We start from the raw sequence: 25,226 nt of genomic DNA, 5'->3' as shown, positions 1-25,226 counted from the left end.
CAGGGAATCCTCCTTCCTAAGCAAAATCAGGAACCTACAGCAATAAAGGTCCCAGACAGGTCAACCATCCTTATCATTGCTGTGCAAATGGATTTCTGGGACACGCTGATGTTGACGACCTACATTCTCAGTTTCTGCTCTTACGCATTTCCTTAGTAACTATCAGAGACAATTATTAGAGGAATTATTTGATTACGACAAGAAAATAAATGCCTACAACCACCTCCTGTCTTTTCTTTCCTATACCTGCAAAATTTCTCCTTTTGTTGGCTCTTTGCGAAGTTCATTACATGCAGAAGTGAAAATAATTTTCCATTGCAAAGCTTGTAATGATGTTCTAATGAATAATTCACTCTGCTTTTACAGAAATGAACCCATAATGGCTGCTGTGTGCTGACAGGGAAAATAAAGTATCTGAAATATGACTCTGCAGACTCAGCTGCAAGATGGCCAGGAATTAGCAGAGACAGGATGCACTGGGGGGCCTGGGAGAAGACTTCAAATTATGTCATTAAGATCACTTGGGCAGTCAAACAATGACTTTAAAGGGAAATCCCTTTAAATGTCAAACTTATTCAACCTCAAAGACAACCCTGAGCAGTAACTTTTAACTCTTTGTTTTAATATATTTAGTATGATCCATGAAATGGTCTTTTTTTTTTTTTTTTTTTGAGATGGTGTCTGGCCCTTGTTGCCCAGGCTGGAGTGCAATGGTGCGATCTTGGCTCACCGCAACCTCTGCCTCCCAGGTTCAAGCGATTCTCCTGCTTCAGCCTCCCGAGTAGCTGGAATTAAAGGCATGCGCCACCTCACCCAGCTAATTTTGCATTTTTAGTGGAGACAGGGTTTCTCCATGTTGGTCAGGCTGGTCTCGAACTCCCAACCTCAGGTGATCTGCCCGCCTCGGCCTCCCAAAGTGCTGGGATTACAGGCGTGAGCTAATGGTCATTTTTTAAAAGCCTGGTAGGTTACCACTGGCATTTGGGACCAGAGATTGTCTGCAGTCATGGACAAAGCACTTGGCTACAGTCAAAAGACTTGAGTTATTTGTAACTCTAAGTCACACCACCATTCCAGGTCAAAACTTGAGGCCAGGCGCAGTGGCTCACACCTGTAATCCCAGCACTTTGGGAAGCTGAGGTGGGAGGATTGCTTGAGCCAAAGAGTTCAAGACCAGCCTGGGCAACGTGGCAAAACCTTGTCTCTACAAAAAATACGGAAGTTAGACAGGTAGAGGGCGCAAGCCTGTGGTCCCAGCTACTCAGGAGGCTGAGGTGGGAGGATGGCTTGAACCTGGGAGACGGAGGTTACAGGGAACCAAGATCGTACCACTACACTCCAGTCTGGGTGACAGAGTGAGATCCTATCTCAAAAAAAAAAAATTCCCCTTTATAAAACAGGAATAATAATAATACCTATTTCACTATTTCACAGGGCTGGGGTGAGGTTTTGTATGAGGACCTGAACTGACTTCCCTGCCCATGTGCTTTGTGTGGGACCTTGAACGAGCCCCTTTTAGCTTCTCATAGCTTCAATTTCTTCATCTGTAAAATGAACATCATAATACATTCATATCAAGCTAGCATTTATGGAACTCTTAATATTTGCTAAGCTCTGTTCTCAGCCTTATTTTATCTTCACGGGAGTCCTATCAGATAAATTTTAATAATCCATGTTTATAGATGAGGAAACTGAGGCAGACAGTTCTTATGTCATGAGGTTGTTATGAGAATTAAATAAGATATTACAAATAACGACTTACTAGGTACCTGGGACATAGTAAGTGCTCAACGAATGTTACCTATCTTTACATAATAGTAATAATGGCTAAAAGCACTTATTACTTAACAGCTAAAAAGTGCTAAGTGTCCAGAAGGGGTTTTTTAATTCTTGAGAATGTATTTCAAAACTTATAACAACATTGAATAAATTCACTTTTATCTTCTTGACCCACATATCTGGCACATATTCAACTGTATTTCTTCTGTTCTGGGCTCTAGCCTCCTGATACATAGGGGCTGCCATCTCTCAATGGGCACCACTCCAGGTGACTTTCCAGCATGGCTCAGACACCTATGGGTGCTCTGGCTGAGGAGATAAACTGAGCTGTGGCTGAGGGTGCAGGTTACCCTGCTGTGCAGCATAGGACGAACAATGCACTCTGTGCCAGGTGCTACTCTCAGCATGCCACATGTATAAATTCATTTAGTTCTTACAATCACCCCAAGAAGGAGAATCTGCTATTATCCTCATTTTACAGCTGAGGAAAATAAGGTACAGCCAACCCTTTATATCCATGGTTTCTGCATCCATCGGTTCAACCAACTGCAGACTGAAAATATTTTTTAAAAGCCCAGTAAGAACAATACAACAATAAAAAATACAAATAAAGCATAAGAATTATTTACACAGCATTTACATTGTATTATCTATAAGTAATCTAGAGATGATTCAGCCATAAAAAGAAATAAATTAACAGTATTTGCAACGACCTGGATGAGATTCGAGAGTATTATTCTAATGGAAAACCAAACATCATATGTTTTCATTGATATGTGGGAGCTAAGCTATGAGGATGCAAAGGTATAAGAACGATACAATGGACTTTGGGGACTTCAGGGGAAGAGTGGGAGGGGGGCGAGGGATAACAGACAACAAATATGGTGCAGTGTATACTGATCGGGTGACGGTTGCACCAGGATCTTACAAATCACCACTAAAGAACTTACTCATGTAACCAAATACCACCTGTACCCCAATAACTAATAGAAAAATAAAATTAAAAAAATTTTGTGCTGCCATAAAAAAATTTATATAAATCTTTATATTATATATTTTATATATTATATAAATATATATTTTATACATATATATACACACACAGGAGGTTATACTTAGGTTATGTGCAAACACTATGCCATTTTGCATCAGGGGCTTGAGCATCTGTGAGTTTTGCTATCCACAGGGAATCCTGGAACAAATCCCCTGTGGATACCAAGGGATGAATGGTACAGAGAAGATGAGTGGATTTGGTCAAGATCTCCTGACTCATAAATGATAGAGTTGGGATTCAAACCACGCTAATATACAACTACCGCATGACACTCCTGTGGGGCTGCAGTAACATGGAAATTTCCTTGGGCCATCTTCTGAGCAGAATGTGGAGGAGAGCTGAAGAGCTAGGGGATTTGGCATAGAGTAAAGGCATATGATACGGGGCAGCTGGAGCTCCATGGGAAGTCACACACTGGCAGGATGAAGAGTCTGCTGTGAAGTATCTGGGCAAGAACTTCCTGGACACAGCATATCATCAGGAGCAGGGCAGCCAGATTAACATAATAAGACTGGGATTAACACACTAAGACCCTTCTAATCTCTGTAAGTGGATTTAAAGAGACTTCCATTGTGCTAGCCCTGGAGTTAGGCAGGAGTTCTAAAGCTGAGACATCTGTGAATCCCTTTGAAATGCATTCATAATTTTTCTAAGCATGAGCATTTTCTGGGGAGGAACGATTGGTTTATTAAATAAATAGTGATCAAACAGTAAGGATCACTGTACTGGGGTGGTGGGGAAAGGCTGGTGATCCCTACCTCCAGCGGCAGGTTCCACGCTATGTACACATGAGACTTGTAATCGTCCATCCAGACCTCAGCAACGCGAAGAGCATTCCTCTTGGTGTAGAAGCCAATGTTGCTATTATATGGCTTCTTCTTCCGCTCAATGTGGGCCACCCGTGAGCAAGGAAGGACCTCCATGCTGCCCCCACAGAGCCATACCTAGGGGTACAAAGATTTCATCAGCCTGAAAAAGAAATTCCCAGAGGCTATGCCCCCTCCCCAAGCCCAAAAGCAATGGTTCAGCTGACTTTGCATAAACGTAAAATACATTTTAATATATAAAGCCAATGAGAGGTTGTGCACGGTGGTTCATGCCTATAATCCCAGCACTTTGGGAGGCTGAGGTGGGCAGATCACTTGAGGTCAGGAGTTGGAGACCAGCCTGGCTAACATGGTGAAACCTCGTCTCTACTAAAGATAGAAAAGTTAGCCAGGCATGATGGCGCACGCCTATAATCCAGCTACTCAGGAGGCTGAGGCACAAGAATCAGTTGAACCCGGGAGGTGGAGGTTGCAGTGAGCTGAGATAGTGCCACTTCACGCCAGCCTGGGTGACAGGGCAAAACTTTGTTTCTAAACAAATAAATAAATAAATAAATAATGCCAATGAGAGTTCAAGGTTGGTTTGTTACTGCAGCATGGTCTAACCTAACCTGACTAAAACATATAAAAAAGAGGCTTGGGAGAATTCTTATAGAAACAACAGCTCAGGATATAAAATCCACCTCTAGGTAAGAAAGGCCCATAAACCTAAGCTGCCCATGGCAACACATGAGTTTTCTTATGTTCTCAATAATGCACAACTGACATCCCTGAAGGCTGCCTTTCCCATCTGGCTGAAGCTGCGCCCTGCCAATGTAGAATGGAAAATTCATACTAAGAAACAGATCTTTATTCATATCAGCACAAGATGTATATAATGATCTAGTTCTGGGTTAAGTTTTGTTTTATTTTGTTTTGAGACAGGGTCTCTCTCTATCACCCAGACTGGAGTGCAGTGGTGCGATCACAGCTCACTATAACTTTGAACTCCTGGCTTCAAGTGATCCTCCTGCCTCAGCCTTCCAAGTAGCTGGGACTACAGGTACGTGCCTCCATGCCCAGTTAATTTTTAAATTTTTTTGTAGAGATGAGGTCTCGCTATGTTGCCCAGGCCGGTCTCACACTCCTGGTCTCAAGCGATTCTTCCACCTTGGCCTCCCAAAGTGTTGGTATTACAAGCATGTGCCACTACTCCCAGCCTAGTTCTACACTGTTAATATGCTCTACTTTGGAGTCCTACAGGTACAGATGCCAAGCCTTCTGGAAGCATCCACTCCAATGCCATTATGAGCAGCTGTCGCTTGCTATTACTGAACTATTCAGAAAGAAAGTTGCAATGATGGCTGCCTTTGAGGGATGCAAAAGCCCAAGGATGTGGGACTTCTCATCCCTCTGCATGGGGATGGCAGGCACCTAGGCCGTAAGGACCTGCTCCAAAAGGAAAGCTGGACTATCCAACTTCTCTTGGTCCAGGTGGGAAAAAAAAAAAAAACCTTATTGTAAAAAAAAAAATTAATTTATGGAAATGAGGTTCCTAGTACCAGTGGAAAAAAAGGAAAATGACAGAAAAGTTTCAGGAGCCTGTGAGGCTGTTCTGCTGTGAAGACACTGTATGCTCTGCATAAGTGACAGTTTTTGCAGGTGAGCTGACTCAGGTAGGCTCATTCCAAGATGGGTTACTTCAAGCCATTCCACCTTTAGTCTCCCAGTAACCACCAAAGCAAGAATACTGGGACACTCTTGAGTGTCTACATACCCCCTTCTTGACTTTTGTTGGCTGAATTTGGTGGCAAAATTTGTTTTGCGTGTATGATGTTCTGTTTCTATTTCCCAACTTCGGTTATACCACAGGGAAACGATACAGATAGAAAATTCTCCCATAAGCAAGAATCCTCACTTTGCTTGCTTCTTCCAGGAGGAATTGTGGGCTAAGTGGTTAGTAGAGAATAGATGTTCCAGACTTCTTTGATCTGGGACAGGACAGCTAGATGCCCTCGCATGTTAGGTTAGACCCAGCTGCTGGCCATGGAAGGAAGTCAAGGAGGCCAAATGTTGGCAAAGGGCCTGGGAATAGAGACAGGAAACTGGTGTCTTAGAGAGTAAAACAAGGCGGCTGAATTTCAAGGTACGGACAATATATAAAGAATCAGGGTCTCACAATGATGTTGCAAGACTCAGTGAATGAATGAAAAGATATACCATGTTCAAGGATTGGAAGAATTAACATTGTCAAGATGGTAATACACCCAAAATTGATCTAAAAATTCAACACAATCCCTATAAAAATCCCAGCTGAATTCCTTGCAGAAATTAACAAGCAGATCCTAAAGTTCGTAAGGAAAAACAAGGGACCTCAAGTAGCTAAAACAACCTTGAGCAAACTGGGAGGACTTCACTCCCCAATTTCAAAATTTAATACAAAGCTACTATAGTCAAGATGGTGTGGTACTGGCATAAGGACAGACATACGGATCAATGGAATAGAACTGAAAGTCCAGAAATAAACTCTCACACTTATGGTCAACTAACTTTCAACAAGGGTGTCAAGACAATTCAGTGGGCTAAGGAATAATATCTTCAACAAATTGTGCTGGAACAACATGTAAAAGAATGGACATGGCTCCTACCTCACACCATATAAAAAATTAACTCAAAATGGATCAACGACCTAAACATAAGAGCTAAAACTATAAAACTCTTAGAAGAAAACATAAGAGTAAAAATTCATGACCTTGGATTAAGCAAATGTCCCAACAATTGATTAATGCATAAATAAAATGTAACATATCCATATGATGGGATATTATTTGGGAAAAAAATGAAATGTTGATACATGCTACAACATGGATGAACCTGGAAAGCATGCTAAGCAAAATAAGCAAATCACAAAGGACTACATATTCTATGATTCCATTTATATGAAATGTCTGGTAAATAAATTGATGGTTGCTTGGGAGGTGGTGGGCAGGGGGCTGGAGGAAGGTAGAGTGACTGCTAATGGGTTTGGTGGTTCTTTTTAGGGTGATGAAAACATTCTAATATTGATTGTGGTGAACTTTGCACAGCTCAAACATACTGAAAAAACCATTGAGTGGCACATTTTAAATGGACGAATTATAATGGTATGTGAATATATCTACAAAGCCATTATAAAAATAGATAGATGATAGATAGACAGACAGACAGACAGACAGATAGATAGATAGATAAACAGAGAGATGGGGGAAAGTAGATTCGGGCGTGAATCTCAGTTTGGGGAGGCTCAGGAGGATGGATGGAAGCAAAGCAGAACTCTTCAAGGACTTAGCAGGGATGACAGACACAGGCGCATAAGAGACCTTAGCAAAAGCCTGAAACCCAGTCATAAGAACACAGGTGCCAAGTGGGAACAGAACCCACAAGCCAGTCTGACTTGGCACTATGTCCTCCACAAGCCATCCAGACCAAGGTCAGGATGGCTTTCATGCCTGGGGTGCAGCCAAACTCCCAAGAGGGTTCAAGTGGATGTAGCTGTTAGGAGTGGAGGTGAGAGGATGGAGGAGCCATATGTTGGCTGTGTTAGCCCTGTGCTGGACACCAAGCCTTTTAAACAAGGGGAGGGAGATGGTGTAACAGACAGGTGGCAGGAAGCTCAGCACATCTGTCCTGTGTGGCAGAGACATGGGCTTCCTGTCCTGGGCTCTGTGGTGTGGATATCAGCCAGCACACTAAGTGTGCATTGACCCAAAGTCCCTCAGCTCTCCCTGTAGAGTCTGGGGAGGACTCAGAGGCTCCTGGAATAGCAGATGTCTTGAAGGTATGCCCTGCTGTGGGGTCCAGCAAGCCCAGGGTGAACTGCCAGGGTCAGTGCCTGCCCTGGAATCCTGCTGCTGGCCTGGATGCCCACAACATTGCCATCACTGGGCATGCACTGTGGTCATTATCCTGCCTGCCTCAGCCTAAGTCTGCACTTTAGCTCATCACCTCCAGTGACTCAGACTGGATTTTAAATCCTAAACATGAACTGTCATTAGCGGCACCTCTTGTGTGAGACAGAAGACGAGGGCTCCTCTTGCTCATCTCTCCTCTACTCTCCACTTTCACAGGCCCCTCCCCTTAGAGAGGCAAGTATACCTGCTCTGCCTGCTCCAAACTCCAGGACCAGTCCAGTAATGACAGAAAGCACCAAAACCAACTCCCTCATCAGCTTATCACAGATGAGGAAACTGAGGGTCAAAGAGGTGGAGAAAGTGGTTCATAACCCCACAGTCAGTAAGGGGAGGAGTCAGAACCACACCCCCGACCACATGCGACAGCAGCAGACACTGGCCCTTCCTGCCCTGGGAGAGCTGACCTACAGCTGTAGACCCCTTGACTTCTCTTCAGTCACAGCCCTGTCCCTCACTCTGGGTGCCTGGTTGGTGCCTCTGACCTGCATTGTAACCACAGTGAGCAGGGGAAACAGTGAGGACAGAGCTGGGCATATAGATATATGCAGAGGAAGCTCCATGGATCTGCAGTGGCACCAATGACATCCTAGGGTCAGAGGTCAAAGCCTGCTGCTGCACGGATCCAAGTGGCGGCATGGCTGTGCAAGGGAGGCTGGAAGATGCCTGGGAGACAAGTGATTCTTCAGGCCTCAGGCTCTGCTCTGTGTTGGCTGGGGGTGATCACCAGCACAGCTCATGGGCTGGCTCTAAGTGATGATGAGCTGATGTGAAGTCTGCCAGTGGTTAAGCAACCAGGCCTACATAGCAGATGGAAAGAAATGCAAGAAAGTGGACTGAAGGCTTTTGAGCCTTAGCAATAAACCAACAGTCCAGCTAAGTCCCCTATGGAGGGGTATTCCCGGAAGGAGTGATATTCCACCTTGGCCTCTGAGTCCACCCAAGAGGTCTGGAAGCAAAAGGGGTACCCTCTAAAGGGAACGATCCAGTTTATGTTTCTACCACACATAAGACCCAGCTATGAGTATCCCAAGTACAGCTGGTCCCAAGAAAGGGTCCTGCGGATCTATTCTCTACATCAGTGTTTACCAGCCCACATGGTGAGTTCCTAGGCAGGCTGAAGAAATGAAGAGAAATGCACAGAAAGGTAGGAACAAGACTCTGACTGGCATGTCGCTGATGCCAAGAGCAGAGGGAAGTGCCCAAATGGAAAGCGCCCCAGGCTGTGGCTCCTCACACAGTGGAGGGAGGAGGACTTCCAGATGGGTTGGAATGGGCCAGGAGGAGGGCACGCTCCAAGCTCTGGGACCAGTCCTGGAGGCAAAGAACCCACCGCAGGGTTCTTGGTGACCCTTTGCTAGGGAAGTGGGGAAGTGGCCCTGCTTAAATGGATATGGGCCTCCAGGAGGTGTGGTGACTCCAGAAACAGACGCTCATCCATTTATTTATTCATCAAAAAATGATCCATTCAGGGCCTACTGGGCTGGGCAGGGGGATGAAATGAGAGGTGCTAGTAGACAAGGTCCTTGCTGTCATGAAGTGGATAATCTAGCAAGGGAAATGCATTAATCAAAGAATCACAGGCAGAAATGCACCATCACAAAGGGAGCTTTTCCATGAGGGAAAACAACACAGGGCTAAAAATCTAGCGTGTAACACGAGGATGTGGCCAGTGGGCTCAGAGAAAGCATCCCCCAGGAAAGGATACTAAGGTGAAGTCTGAAGGGCTAGGCTGAGCTGAGTAGAGGAAGTGGGCAACAGTCCCAAGCCCAGGGGCAGCCAGCACAGTTGCAATGACCTTGTGAAGGAGAGAGCAGGGTGTGCTGGACTGTATTCAAAGATGGCAGCAACAATTCCACCCATGCTCCTTGGCAATGTGACTTATTTGCTCTTCCTATAAAAAGGCTGAACCTATTTCCCCTCTCCTTGAATCTGGGCTGATTTTATGACTTGCACTGATTAACAGAATGCAGAAGTGATGTCTCACACAACCCAGGACTAGGCCTTAGAGACTTTGCGGCTTGCACTTTCTTCCTCTTGGAATTCTGAGCCCGTCAGGCTGTAAGGAAGCTGAGGATAAAAGACAATGGAGCAATAGAGGCCCAGCTATTCCAGATATCATGGCTGAAGACTAAGGCATGGGAGTGAGGCCATGTGAGACTGTACACCCCCAAGACAACCCATCAGTGGAATGCCAGTGTGTGCATAAGCATAGCCAGGGCCATGTGGAGCAGAAGAACCACCTGGCTGACCGCAGCCCAGACTTCCAAACTTCAGAATCTTAATCCAATCAATTGTTATTTAGGCCACTAAATTTGGGCTTACACTGCAATACATAAGTGATACATAGAGGATATTCAAAGAGCTGAAAGAATAGCCATGTGGCTGGAACGTAGAAAATGGATTCAGAAAGTAGGGCTGGAAGAGAGGAGAATAGTGGAAAATATTGGAGAGGTAGGCAGGGTCCACACCAGGCAATTACCTGGAGGTCATGTTAAAAAGAAATTGATCTTTGTTGTAAATGAGAAGCCACTGAAGAATTTGGGTTTGAAAAGATCACTCTGGCTGAACTGTGGGGAAAAGACTGGCAGCATGAAGAGGGGAGATGGAGAAAACAAGAATGCTTTGCTATTTTGCAGGGAAGAAGAGCTGATAGCTTTAGTGACAGCAACAAAATAGAGATGTAGATAGATTTGAGGGATTTTTTTTTTTTTGAGACAGAGTCTTGCTCTGTCACCCAGGCTGGAGGGCAGTGGCATGATCTTGGCTCACCGCAACCTCCGCCTCCCAGATTCAAACTATTTTCCTGCCTCAGCCTCCCAAGTAGTTGGGATGACAGGCGTGTGCCACCGTGGACGGCTAATTGTTGTATTTTTAGTAGAGATGGGGTTTTGCCATGTTGGCCAGACCGGTCTTGAACTCCTGACCTTAAGTGATCCACCTGCCTCAGCCTCCCAAAGTGCTGGGATTACAGGTGTGAGCCACCGCACCTGGCCGAGGGATTTTTAATAGGCAAAATCATCAACAATAGATTGGATATGGCTTGGAAGGAGAAGGAGGGTTATGAATGACCCCTAGCCACTGGATATACTGAAGCTTCATTCATTGGGGCAAAAAGCCTGCCCTAAACTACCCAGGCCTCTGGAATATGGAAGGGATGAGGCAAAAGAAACCATCACAAGACTCTGGGGTCTGGGAAGTCTTAGGCAGGACACATTGTTCTGCTTCCTGACAGCTGATGTCCTGGAAGAAGACACACTATGGGAGATGAATGTCAATGGGGATTGATTTTCATCATTTTGGAGAGTCTTCAGTGGCACGTTGGTTTAGTTACATCTTTTGATACATGTTTCATTCATACATTCAACTTCATCATTTACTAAACACTTTCACTAGGCCCAGCGCAGTGGCATATGACTGGAATCCCAGCAATTTGGGAGGCTGAGGCAGCAGGATTCCTTGAGGCCAGGAGTTCAAGACCAGCCTGGGCAACATGGCGAGACCAGCCTCTACAAAAGAAAATTAAATAATTAGCCAGGTGTGGTGGCACATGGCGGTGGTCTCATCTACTCAGGAGGCTGAGACAGGAGGATCACTTGAGCCCATGAATTCAAGGCTGCGGTGAGCTATGATGATGCCACCGCACTCCAGCCTGGATGACAGAGCAAGACCCTGTCAATCCATCCATCCATCCACCCATCCATCCATCCATCCATCCATCCATCCATCCATCCATCCATCCATCCATCCATAAAATGAAATAAAATTGCAAACACCTGGATCCCACCCCAGCCCTATAAATCACATTCCCCAGGGATGAAGTTGAGGCACCTGGGTGTATGTAAAAAGGCCCCCCATGGGATTGAGATGTGTAGCCACATTTGAGAGCCACCAGCTTAGAAGGCTTCTAATATCATTTCCAGGGTTGTGATCTGATGACTCAATTTTACAGAAGCTGAAAGAATTTAAGCAAGGGCTGTGCTCTGCCACAGCCTGGACAGCTGGATAGTAGCTTCAGGGACCCCGGAAGAGCCACAGGCAACAAATGAGGATGCAGGGTGCCAGGTACTGCCCAGGCCACCTGCTCCCCTGGGCACCTGTCACTGAGGAGCCTAGGCAGCCAGGGAGGAAAGAGGAGGCCAAGCCATCAAAGCCAACATGACTGGTTCATTTATATTCACTATGCTCACAGGCTATGGGCTCCAAACATTTTTGATGTTTAAAAATGTAAAGCATACCTTCTCCAATATATTTACTTTATTTATTTTTCAGTACATGCACATACTACTATGCTAATATATTTTACACATGAAAAATTTAGATATATAGAAATCCAAAAATGACATTAGAATATGAGTGCTAATATATTCCTCTTGTCCCTCTAATGGTCCACATCATCTTGTGTACCCCACTTTGGAATCTACTGCCCTAACAGTGAGGCAGCTGTTCTCACCTTGTCATAGAATTCTAATATTCAAGGTCTGGTCTTGTCCTGTGACTTTTAGAGGCCAGGAGTTTCTCAAAAGCAGCAGGAAGGATCATTCGGGCATAAGTAGGTTTGGATCCAAAATATTCTGGTGAGAGTTTTCAATTGTGCCATTAAATTGAGAACCCTGGGTGCCCTGATTATGTGAAAGCCACTTTTCCAGGGATCTTCAAGGCACTAACAGGGGGCAGCTCTCTCTTGAAAGAGCTTGCATGCTATTATAGCAGGTGGCCCGGAGCAGAAAGACAGTGTGTTCTCTCTCCCCACGACCTCCGTCACTCAAATTGAGCAAGGAAGCTACATATACCAGAAAGAAAGCCAGGCACCATCCTCACCACTTCCTCCCTAGGCGCCAGCCAATCCATCACCAAGTCCTGCAGATGATGCCTCTTCACTACAGCTCAACTGCATCCACTTCCTTTCACATCCACTATGACCACCAGATCATTTTCTCCTCCCTCATCACCTTGGTGCAAGCTACGACCATCTCCCACCTGGACCACAGCCACCACTTCCGAATCCAACTCCATTCAGTCTGACCTCCGCTCAGCAGCCAGGGTGGAACTGATCATTCCACGGCCCTGCAAACTTCGATGGCTCCCACCGACCACTCTGAAAATAAATCCTCAATCTTCGTGTGGTCTTCAAAGCCTCCCCCTGCAGCCTCATCTCTGCAGCTCCCCTCAATCCCATGATGTTTCCTTTTGTCCTCCCCTGTGCCCCATTCCTGCCCGGGACACTCCTCCCCCATCTGCCTAGTTAACTCCTAATCAAACTTTGGCTTTCAGCTCCATCAGTGCTTACTCAAGGAAGCCCCAGATAAAAACAGAGTTCCCTATAACATGCTAGCATAGCCCTTATCACGGTTGTAATTGCATGATCCTGCCAGCATGTGGGCGTGCAAAAAAAATTACTTTCTCCCTTCTTTACTAGGCTGTTACCTCAATGAGGACAGACTGTGTCATCCTGTGTCCCTACTGCCCAGCACTGTGCCTGGAACATAAGTAAGTACCCAAAGAGTTCTGAGTTCTTAATCAATGAGTGAATGTGTACATACATTAATGAATGGAGAGGGGCTGGAGGGAGTAAGCAGCGAAATTGTCTGGAGAGGGGGCCTAGGAGGTGGGAAAAGAGGAACAAATTAAAGAAAGGAAAAGGAAATAGACTAGAAGATATAATATGCCAGGCAGAGAAAGTTAAAGTCAGTCAACCAAGGGCCCTTATAGAACTCAACACGAGCTAGATTTGAGTCTCTTCCCAAACGCTCTTCCCACAAACCCAGAACCACCCTGATGCTTCTAAGAATGCTGTTCCCTGGCACCCCTTCTGGTGCAAATCTACCCTACAGTATGTCAACATCAGCCAGCCCAGCCTAGCCTGGAATCAGTGGGGAGATGTTCTCTAGCAAGAGCTGAGATAGACCCAAGAAAGATCAATCATTTTACTCTCTAGTGGGAAAGGCCACTGGCTCCATTTCTCCCAGAAGTCAGGCACATGCATTCTTCCCCCGGAAACTATTTTCTCATCTGTAAATGACAGGGGGCTATCTCTGAGGTTTCTTTCAGCTCTGGCATCTCAAGATACCATGGCCCAGTCTGCAGAACTATGGCCTCTGCTAACAGAAAACAGCAGACCGCAGAGGCTGCCTACCCCGGTGTTGACTTTCTTGAGGAATCATCTGGAGACTGCCAGGAATTCCCCAAGTAATGAATTCAGGAATGTTTTCTAGATCATGGAAGACACACTACCCGATCAGATCTGAACTACTGCTGGGTATATCAATACTTCTTTTAATCTGTCCAAAATTCCCTTCCAGGTAGCAGAAAGTTTTTTGAATCTTTTTCTTTGATTCTTTTTTTGAGAGACAAGATCTCACTCTGTCTCCCAGGCTCGAGTGCAGTGGCATGACTGTAGCTCATGGTAACCTCAAACTCCTGGGCTCAAGCACTCCTCCTGCCCCAGCCTCCCGAGTAGCTGGGACCACAGCTGAACACTACTACGCCTAATTTTTGAATATTTTGTAGGCTGAGCATGGTGTCTCACGCCTGTAATTCTAGCAGCACTTTCGGGGGCTGAGGTGGGCGGATCACCTGAGGTCAGAAGTTTGAGACCAGCCTGGCCAACATAGTGAAACCCCTTCTCTACTAAAAATACAAAAAACTAGCTGGGCGTGGCGGCAGGTGCCTGTAATCCCAGCTACTCGGGAGGCTGAGGCAGACGAATCGCTCGAACCCAGGAGGTGGAGGTTGCAGTGAGCCGAGATCGTGCCACTGCTTTCTAGTCTGGGCGACAAGCAAGACTCCATCTCAAAATAAAATAATGCAATAAAATAAAATATAAAATAAAACCCTCCCGGTGAAAGCCTGTGATCTATTTTCAGAAGCTTTCTTCCTGAAAGCATAGGCACATAGATACCTGAAGTTAAAGATTTCACCACTGTCTCTTAACGTAACAGTGAAACAACAAGAAATTAACATAACTAGTCCATTTTTGTTTAAGGGGAATTTACTCATTGTTGCATGCAAGTTAGGATAATTTGAGAGCACTGATATACAATGCAAAGCAGCAATCACATAGTTTTGAAACTAACTCTGGGATTACAGGGGAAGTAGGTACACCACTATGTTTTGTTAAAGGTTTACAGGAACATTGGGATCTAACCAAGGACGAAGAAGTTCCCAATCACTTAGGACTCTTGCTGGTGCCCAGATTATCTGCCGTCCTCAGTTGCTTCTTGAGTCCAACCTCTACACAGTTTCCCCATATCCCTCTCCCATAAAACCCTCCAGCCGGCCGGGCGCAGTGGCTCATGCCTGTAATTCCAGCACTTTCGGTTGCCGATCACAAGGCTGGAGGCGGGCGGATCACGTCAGGAGATGGAGACCATCCTGGCTAACACGGTGAAACCCCGTCTCTACTAAAAATACAAAAAATTAGCTGGGCGTGGTGGCAGGTGCTTGTAATCCCAGCTAATCAGAAGGCTGAGGCAGGAGAATAGCTTGAACTCAGGAGGTGGAGGCTGCAATGAGCCTAGATTGTGCCATTGCACTCCAGCCTGGGTGAAGAGCCAGATTCCATTTCAAAAATAAAAAATAAAAAAAATAAGATAACATCTTAGCATATGTTCTTGAGCTGTTTTTCAGAAACTCAGACCCCACTCAAGGGATTTGCTGGCAGGTAGACTCTCAGATAAGGGGGAACTGTGGACTGAACTCTGACCACAGTGCTTGTTTCTAAATTTCTTCCCAAGGGGTCTGGAGGAGGTCATGTCCATGAGGGAGCACTAATGTTCTTTTCTGCTGACCTCAGATTTTTACACAGAGCTTTGCATCCTGGAGCAATCGCAAATCAGAAAATCTTTGACTCCACCTTAGACCTTTGGGCCCTGCTTCAAGATGTCCTACTTTTTGGCTGGGCGTGGTGGCTCATGTCTGTAATCCCAGCACTTTGGGAGGCCAAGGCAGGTGGATCACCTGAGGTCAGGAGTTCGAGACCAGCCTGGCCAACATGGCGAAACCCTGTCTCTACTAAAAATACAAAAAATTAGCCAGGTGTGGTGGCACATGCCTATAGTCCCAGCTACTCAGGAAAGTGAGGCAGGAGAATTGCTTGAACCTGGGAGGCAGAGGCTGCAATAAGCTGAGATTACACCATTGCACTGCAGCCTGGGCAACAAGAGAGAAAGTCTTAAAAAAAAAAAAAGTCCTACTTTTATAGGTCGAAACAATGTACAGCTTCCATGTGTCAATTTCTGACTTTGCCTGTAACCTCTGCCTCTCTGCCTTTAAAAACCCTTACCTAGGGCCGGGTGCGTTGACTCATGCCTGTAATCCCAGCACTTTGGGAGGCTGAGGCAGGTGGATCACGAGGTCAAGAGATTGAGACCAACCTGGCCAACATGGTAAAACCCCGTCTCTACTAAAAATACAAAAATTAGCTGGGTGTGGTGGCAGGTGCCTGTAGTCCCAGCTACTTGGGAGGCTGAGGCAGGAGAATTGTTTGAACCCGGGAAGCAGAGGTTGCAGTGAGCCGAGATTGTGCCACTGCACTCCAGCCTGGCAACAGAGCAAGACTCTGTCAAAAAAAACAAAAACAAAAACAAACACAAACAAACAAACAAAAACCCTTCCCTACCAGCCATCAGGGAGTTCAGGTCTTAAGCATGAGCTGCCCGATTCTCCTTGCTGGGCGCCCTGCAATAACTGCCTCACTTTCTCTCGCTGCAATTGCAATGTCAGTGTTTGGGTTTGCAGAGCCAGATGGGCGAGCTATGGCGGGTTCTGTAACATAGAGAGTGATGTTCCACCACCTCTGGAGCATGTGTCTCTGATGTCTTCCTTCCTACTGACAGGAATTCTTCTTTTTACCAAAAGGAATTCACTTAGGAAGCCATTTAAATCCATTTACATTGTTAAAAGCAACACTGGAGGAAATTTAACGCATAAATTACGTAAATAACACCATCTGGTAATCCAAGCGCAGGCAAATTTTAGCCCTTTGTCTGATTCTCAACAACACAGGTTTCTGGCAAAGAGAATATTTTAATTTGTTACTCGCATCCTACCAATCATTTGCGGGCCTTTCTGGTAACCTCCTTCCCAGAGGAGCAAGCTACTACTCCTGAAAATAGGGAGAATTTTCCTCAGCGTTTCTCTCTGCCATGCTAGAGATGGTGAGCTGACTTTTCCCAGTTTAAATCAACATTCTCTTTCACTAAACGGGACGGTTGCATAATGGCTTTCCTCCTAAAGTCCTTTTAAAAAATTCAATTTCAATCTTCTGCTTTATTTATGACTGCTTCTCAGAAATGGGATTGACAAATATGGACCTCAAGACATATCTCAATTTAAGTACCGCGGTGGTAAGAACTTCTAAATACGTGGATCCTCTTGCCAGTCAATGCAAGTCATTGACTGGCAAGAGGAATTAAGATGAAGTGTTTTGTGATGAGCAGTTCAGAGAAGTCAAGAAATGCAGATTGAAAGCAGCTTGATCTATAGAGCCCAGAAGTAGGGCTGGGAGGACTTTTTTCTTTTCTTTTGATTTTTGTTGCTGTTACTATGTACTGAAAAGAATAATATGGGTTTATTTTCACCATTTTAAAATTCAACCCAGGCTGGGCACGGTGGCTAATGCCTGTAATCCCAATGCTTTGGGAGGCCGAGCTGGGGGGGATTGCTTGAGGCCAGGAGTTCAAGACCAGCCTGGACAACCATCTATAAGAAAACATTTAAAAATTAGCTGGGCATGGATGCGCATGCTTGCAGTCACAGCAACTCAGGTGGTTGAGGTAGGAGGATCACTTGAACCCCGGGGACTGAAGCTGCAGTGAGCTATGATGGTGCTACTGCGCTCCAGCCTGGGCAACAGAGTAACAACCTGTCTCTAAAGAAATAAAAATAATAATTAATAAAAAGAAAACAAAATCCATCCCAGTCTTATGACCCAGCCTGATAGATAGCTTGTGACTGTCATAGAGGACCAGGGCTTTGATGTTAGAAAATTGGCTAAAAGGCTGGGTGCAGTGGCTCACGCCTATAATCCCAGCACTTTCGGGAGGCCGAGGCAGGTGGATCATGAGGTCAAGAGATGGAGACCATCCTGGCCAACATGGTGAAACCCCGTGTCTACTAAAAATACAAAAAATTAGCTGGGTGTGGTGGCACACACCTGTAGTCCCAGCTACCCAGGAGTCTGAGGCAGGAGAATTGCTTAAACCTGGGAGGCAGAGGTTGCAGTGAGCCGAGATCGCACCACTGTACTCTAGCCTGGCGACAGAGGAAGACTCCATCTCAAAAAAAAAAAAAGCCTAAAAAGTAGCCTGGATCAGGCATGTCTAGATTGGCTTTGTCCTATTCTCCCCACCTCCCTTCCTTTTTTTTTTTTTTTTTTTTTGTGCTCCCATCCCTTCCTCTCCTCTCCTGCATTCCCTCTTCCCTACCACCCACTACTTCACATCTACTAGCTCTCACTCTATTTCTGTCCTCCCGACTCTGACAGTTCAAACACTGGTCCATTAGTCCTCTCTCTACAACAGCTTCAACTAAGTAAGTATTAAGCATTTTATTATTCTTGGTATTCCCAGCACCCAGCCTGATGCCTTTAACTTCTAACAATTTACCTTCCTTAGTTATTCAATCCAGTGCTATCTACATGTTTACTAAGAGCTCCAAGCTAAACGCTGCCAGGGGTATAAAGATAATTTAGACATGGATGTCACTGCCAGGCTCATAGCCTTTATTCTTTCCTCAGAGCTTAAAAATAGAATGCCAGGAAAGTATTGAAAATGACTTTAGAACCTTTGGTGTAGAAGCTGGCAGAGCAGGGAGGGTGAAAACACTGTATTCACTCCCTTATCCATGCATGTCCTCCATCCTTCTACTGTCATTTCTTTGCATTTTGCCTGGGATTAAAGGAGTTGGTAGGGCACAATTATAGATAAGCTATGTTTAACTATAAAAGAATAGTGAATTATATTTAATTCTGTGTCTTCAACACCAAAGGGCCAGAGCTTTCAGACTGCATACAGTGATCTGAAGAGGACGGGTCTGTCCACATCCTTTAAAGAGCATAATTGGGCCAGGCACCTGTAATCCCATAATTGGGCTCACACCTGTAATCCCAGCACTTTGGGAGGCTAGGAGTTTGAGACCAGCCTAAGCAACATGACAAAACCTTGTCTCTACTAAAATACAAAAATTAACTGGGTGTGGTGTTGCATGCCTGTAGTCCCAGCTACTCAGAAGGCTGAAGCAGGAGAATCACTTGAACCCAGAAGGTGGAGGTTGCAGTGAAGAGAGATCATGCCACTGTGCTCCAGCCTCGGCGACAGAGTGAGTGAGACTCCATCTCAAAATAAATAAATAGCATGATTGATGTCATATGGCCCAAAAGCCCAGCAAAGCTTGTGATCACTCTCTCTGGCACTCAGATTCCCTAACTGAACTCAACTTGGTAAAGGCAAAATAAAAGGCATTCCCAATTACTGGTCCCATAAGTCTGCAGAAAGGACAGTGGTACTGGGTTGTCTAGAGTTTGGGGCTAGGACTTGGGAGAAGTCAGCACTGCTCAGCCAGCATGGCTCTGCCACACTAAACTGCACATCTGCACATTGGCCACCATCTAATATGGACTTCCTGTTCTTTATGATGCAGCCAGCCAGGCATGCCTGAGATACCCCTTGGAAAGAAGCTTGACTGGCAACTTCCTGAACTCTTCTCTATTACTCAGGAGATGCCAGAAGGAGGCTGAAATTGCCCTCATAGGGTTAACGAGAATTACAAGCCAGGCTTTAGGCAGAATTATGGTTAGACATTGATCAGGGTACACAGGTGCACTTTAATCCACTTCCCTGCAGTTGCTAACTATTCAAGGGTCACGTAGCACACTGACTACCTGCTCCCTCATTGTTCCTATAGATAAAATCTCTAACACTGGACCTTTTAACCCAATAATTGCTTAAGGTGTGTATGTGTGTGTGTGTGTGTGTGTGTGTGTGTGTGTTTAATCCTGAATTCCAGCAGAATGGCTAACCAATCTGAAGACCCCCACCAAGGAACTGACTCAGGACAGGCATACAGTTTCTTCATCTTCCTGTCCCAGGACTTCATCCTCTTGCTTCTCAACCAGTCAGGAATCCCCACACTTTAGCCAATCACCCATCCTCTTAAAAACCCCCTGAAAACTCCATCCCAAACCTTTTGAGGAGGCAGATTTTAGGTTTCCTCCCATCTCCTCATTTGGCTGACCAATGATCTTTCTCTGCTGCAACTCCTGCTGTTTTGGTGTATTGGTGTGTTATGGCACAATGGAAAATTGAAACTGGTGGTCCTAAAAAATGGCCCATGAGATGTGAGAATCCCTCACTCAAGGTCACAAAACTTGGATCTGGTGCACAAACATGAGATCTGGGCCAGGACAGAGCTCTCAACTGTCGGCAGAGCTTGAGAAGCACCTTGCAGCAAGCCACCAAGCCCAAGGGCCTGAGATTAGGACTCAAGGTCAGGGCAGGTGGGCTGGCAAATGGAGAGAGATCCAGTGGTGACAGCTGGGTAATGGGGGCAGAACCATCCCTGCAGATGGGAGGAAGAGGATGAAGAGGACCCTAAAAGACATCACCTAGAACTGGGCACCAATGTGGGGCCCATAAGGCTTCATGCTTTCCACAAACCCTTTTGTTATTTCATTGTATGGCATGACATTACAGAAAGATAGTCCTGGAGTCACAGCACTGGGTTCAAATCCTGGCTCTTGGTTGAGTTGAAATCAAAGTCATTGCCAATTACTACTGAGTTGCCCACAATTGAGGCTAGGTCTCACGGTTGCCTAGCTACTTTTATGCCTGATCTTCAGTTTCCTTAGCCATAAAACGCAGCTGAGGGCCAGGCTTGGTGGCTTATGCCTGTAATCCCAGTGTTTTGGGAGGCTGAGGCAGGAGGATCACTTGAGACCGAGAGTTCAAGACCGGCCTGGGCAACATAGCAAGATCCCATCTCTCTGAAAAATAAATAAATAAAAATTATTTTCAACTTAAAAAAGGAGTGGACCAAGCATAGTGGCTCATGCCTGTCATCCCAGTACTTTGGGAGGCCAAGGGAGGATCACTTGAGGTCAGGGGTTTAAGACCAGCCTGGGCAACATAACAAGACCCCGTCTCTACAAAAATCTTTTTAAAAACGTTATCTGGGCATGGTGGCATGCACAAGTAGTCCCAGCTACTCAGGAGGCTGACGCGGGAGAATTGTTTGATCCCAGGAGTTCCAGGCTGCGGTGAGCTGTGATTGAGCCACTGTACTCCAGCCTGGGCAACAGAGTGAGACTTTGTCTCTTAAAAAAAAAAAAAAAAGTAGCTCATGACAGCAGCTGATCTGAGGGTTGTTGTGAAGGTAATATGAGATAATGTATGGAACACTCATTAACATGATAGTAAATGCTGAGAAAAACCAAAGTAGTTATTATTTACTAGCCAAGAGAATAGCTGTGTAGCTGTGAAGTGAACTGTTTCCTGAGTGGTAGCGGTGCCACCACCTCTGTGTGGGCCCATGGGAGGGGCAGGTTGGAGATAATGACTGTGAGGACCCAGAGGAAGTGAGGAAGTGGTAGCTGCTGATGTTGGCATAGGGGTTACAGGCTCACTGTGTGTCCCTCTGTCCACATTCTGTTTTTCCCTGTTGCACAGCCCGCAATGGGTGTGGGCTGTTGGTGGGCCAGGCCGCTTCCTGCCCTGCCTGGCTGTGAGGACTCTCTTGTTGTCTCACTAGACGGCCCCCCAGACACCTGGACTGCAGCCTGGCCTAAGTGGCTGGAAGCAGAGCAAGCTGAAGGATTTCCTTGAGTGGAACTGCTGTCAGGTGGTGTCAGTGGGTTCACAGAGGCTTGGAGAATGTGTATGATTACTGGGCACTGCTCAGAGGTCCATGGGGATGTGTTCATGGCCACAGACATCCCTAGGAACAGTGGACAGAGCATGGACTCCAGCACACAGAAGCAATGGTAGAGGTAAGAGGCTTGCAGAAAACAGAGCCATGGGCTTCCAGGGCCTGGAGGGGCCTCTGCCTGAAAGCCTGCCTGCTCAGTGCCAGTAGTTAGGGTCACTGGGGCTTGAAAATGGAGGGTATCAACAGAGGACAGGAGAAGCTGTCACTCACACTCCTCTCCAGTTCCTGTAGGAGCAGGAGGAACTGGGCAGGCTCTCAGGCCTCCAACTTGTCTCCCCATCCCTGTCGTTGTTTAAAAATAGCAGATTTGGGCTGGGCATGGTGGCTTATGCCTCAGGTCCCAGTGATTTGGGAGGCCGAGGCAGGCAGATCACTTGAAGTCAGGAGTTTGAGACCAGCCTGGCCAACATGGTGAAATCCCATCTCTACTAAAAATACAAAAAAAAAAATAGCTGGGCACAGTGGTGGGCACCTGTAATCCCAGTACTTAGGAGGCTGAGGCAGGAGAATCACTTGAACCTGGGAGGTGGAGGTTGCAGTCAGCCAAGATCGCACCACTGCACTCCAGCCTGGGTAACAGAGCGAGACTCTGTCTCAAAAAATAAAATAAAATAAATAAAAATAGCAAAATTGGGCCAGGGGCGGTGGCTCAAGCCTGTAATCCCAGCACTTTCGGAGGCTGAGGTGGGTGGATCATGAGGTCAGGAGATCAAGACCATCCTGGCTAACACGGTGAAACCCCATCTCTACTAAAAATACAAAAAATTAGCTGGGTGTGGTGGCGGGCACCTGTAGTCCCAGCTACTCAGGAGGGTGAGGCAGGAGAATGGCATGAACCTGGGAGGCAGAACTTGCAGTGAGCTGAGATAGCACCACTGCACTCCAGCCTGGGTGACAGAGCGAGACTCTATCTCAAAAAAAAAAAAAAAAAGGAAACTTGGATGCCCCTTTTGGGACCAAGCCACCAAACATACTGTCTGTGGCAGGAGGCAACTCATAAAGAAGCATGGTCCAAGCATAGGAGGGTTCAGCCTCTCACTTGCTTTTGTTACAGCCAAGATGAGGGGTCTGACCCATGTGATTCCTCTGTGAACTTATGCATGCAAGGAACTACATCTGATAAACTAACATGCACTCCATTCTCAGGCTTGGCAAAGAGAATAGAGAGTGAGAAAATAGCTATAAATTAAATTTAAACAGAGTGAATCCACTCTCCATTCTACTCATGAGATAGAAACACGCTGAGTCCCAGAGGAAGGTGGTGGCCTGTGGCTGGGGCTGCTGGTGCTCCAGGAACAGCCCTGGTCCTGCCATGCTGAGCTGGGTTATCCTTTGCTTACTTACTTCAACATAGAATGTTCTCAGAACCCTTCTTGGAGCTCCATCCCATCCTTTTCTTTTTGCATAAACTGCAAATAAAATCAATTAAATTTTTAAAAGTGTGGGACTAGCTGCTGGGTTAGAAGCTATGGAAGTCAGGAAATCCGGGGTTTCTGAAATGGGTGTTAAAACGTCAGTAAGGTTAGGGGCAGAAATGCTGTTCTCTGTTCCACGATGGTGTATCAGAGCCTAGGAACTTGGAGGCAAAATGCCAAGTCTAGTCATGGACTGATGGAACCTGGGGAGGGAGGTGGCCTTAGGGGAGGAGATATTGCCACATCAAAAGATCAGACATTCCAGGACATGGTGCCAGTCAGTGCTGCTGGTGATACCAGATAATTTAAAGCCAGGGAAAGACAAATACAGATCCCATTTCACTTAGGCCTAGGCACAAAATGACATTCACAACCATGACATGACCCGTCTATGTGAAATTGGGCCTGCAGGCTTGATATTTGCCAATTGGTAAATTACTCCACCAGCTGACTTCACAACTGAAGTCAGGTTTTCTCCTCTTCAGGTTTTTAAATGTAAACATTAGGGCTTTGATCAGGAGAGGATCCTAGAAGTGGAGGAGGTACTTATACACTGAAGAAATGACAAATCTCAGTCCCTTTTATTGAATGGAAACTTCTATTTTGTTCCCCAGAACAGAAAGCCAGTGATACTCTTCTTGGGCCTATAACCATCTGTAATAGTTCATTTTCACACTGCTATAAAGATACTACCCAAGACTGGGTAATTTATAAAGGAAAGAGGTTTAAGTGACTCAGAGTTCTGCATGGCTGGGGAAGCCTCAGGAAACTTACAATCATGGCGGAAAGGGAAGCAGGCACTTCTTCACAAGGCAGCAGGAGAGAGAGAGGGTGTGTAGGAGGAACTGTCAAACACTTATAAAACCATCAGATCTTGTGAGAACTCACTCACTATCACAATAACAACATGGGGGAAACTGGCCCCATGATCCAATCACCTCACACCAGGTCCCTCCCATGACATGTGGGTATTACAATTCGAGATGAAATTTGAGTGGCAACATAGAACCGAACCATATCACCATCTGTGGACAGACCTAATCCACTTATGATAACACCTGGAGAAAGTTGGTGTCAGCTTTGGCGCCTCCTAATTCTTACAGGCAAAGGCCAGGAGCCTCCTGAGTACACCCAGTCCAGCCTTTTCTGCAGACAGATGTGGCTGTAAGATTTGTTCTCAGTAGTAAATGTGGGTCTAAGTAAAGCACAACCCTGCCATGGTTGAAAAGCCAGTGTGCATTCTCCATCCTCTTTTTTCCCACTGCATGGAGACCTTGGAAGCCACCTGTTGATGATGGAGGAGCCACAGTGTTAAAGAAGCTAAAGTCACTGAATGACCACCAGGAAGGCTACCTGCCAACCATGGAACATATTTTTACCATACTAAGCCACTGAGATTTGGAGGTTTGCTTGTTCCAGGAGCCAGAGTGACTTGCCCCCAGCACTCTTCATCTGCTATTTTGACTTGTAATGTGTAGAATTTTACTTACTTTATTATTATTATTATTTAGAGACACAGGGTCTCTGCTCTGTCACCCAGGCTGGAGAGCAGTGGCACAATCCTAGCTCACTGCAGCCTTGAACTCCTGGGCTTAAGCAATCCTCCTGTCTCAGCCTCCCAAGTAGCTAGGGCTACAGGTGTGCACCACCATGCCTGGCTGATTTTTCTTTTCTTTTTTCTTTTCTTTCTTTCTCTTCTTTTTTTTTTCTTTTGTTTTTTTTTTTTTTTTTTTTTTGAGATGGAGTCTCGCTCTGTCGCCAGGCTGGAGTGCAGTGGTGAGATCTTGGCTCACTGCAACCTTGGCCTCCCGAGCAATTCTCCTGCCTCAGCCTCCCAAGTAGCTTGGATTCCAGGCGCATGCCACCATACCAAGCTAATTTTTGTATTTTTAGTAGAGATGGGGTTTCACCGTGTTGACCAGGCTGGTCTCAATCTCCTGACCTTGTGATCCGCTCACCTTGACCTTCCAAAGTGCTGGGATTACAGGTGTGAGCCACCGTGCCCAGCCTCTATTTTTCTTTTCTGTGGAATCGGTATGTCACTATGTTGCCCGGGCTGGTCTCAAACTCCAGTCTCAAGCTGTCCTCATGAATTGGCTTCTCAAAGTGCTGGGATTACAGAAAGGAGCCACTGCTCCCAGCCCAGAGTTTTAAAATGCACACAGGAACCCTATTCTTTTATAAATATTAGGTATCCAGAAACAAGAGGCTTCCCCGAGGTTATGACCAACCAATACTTTTATTTCTGTTTCTCTCCCAGAAAACAATTCATTTTTCAGCTTCCAGGAAAGCTGGATATCGC

The 25,226-nt window shown here is 45.9% G+C and overlaps 1 protein-coding gene across 2 annotated transcripts in view, besides 1 other annotated feature; it reads right to left on the bottom strand.

The window, feature by feature from the left end:
• Positions 1-25,226, bottom strand: part of GALNT17 (polypeptide N-acetylgalactosaminyltransferase 17) — a 581,456-nt gene that overhangs the window by 44,412 nt on the left and 511,818 nt on the right. For both annotated transcript variants that reach the window (NM_022479.3, XM_011516467.4), the window contains exon 7: positions 3,592-3,777. In NM_022479.3, coding sequence (NP_071924.1) covers positions 3,592-3,777 — 186 coding nt within the window. The remainder of the gene's footprint in view (positions 1-3,591; positions 3,778-25,226) is intronic.
• Positions 21,471-21,972: an enhancer, noted in NCBI's record as "H3K27ac hESC enhancer chr7:71112201-71112702 (GRCh37/hg19 assembly coordinates)". NCBI's record gives its function as "activates a minimal SCP1, AML or CMV promoter by ChIP-STARR-seq in naive H9 embryonic stem cells {active_cell/tissue: H9 hESC(naive)}" and the evidence as "EXISTENCE:reporter gene assay evidence [ECO:0000049][PMID:30033119]".

This window comes from Homo sapiens, chromosome 7, assembly GCF_000001405.40.
Source record: "Homo sapiens chromosome 7, GRCh38.p14 Primary Assembly".
NCBI lineage: Eukaryota > Metazoa > Chordata > Mammalia > Primates > Hominidae > Homo > Homo sapiens.
This window is presented reverse-complemented; position numbering and strand designations above follow the sequence as displayed.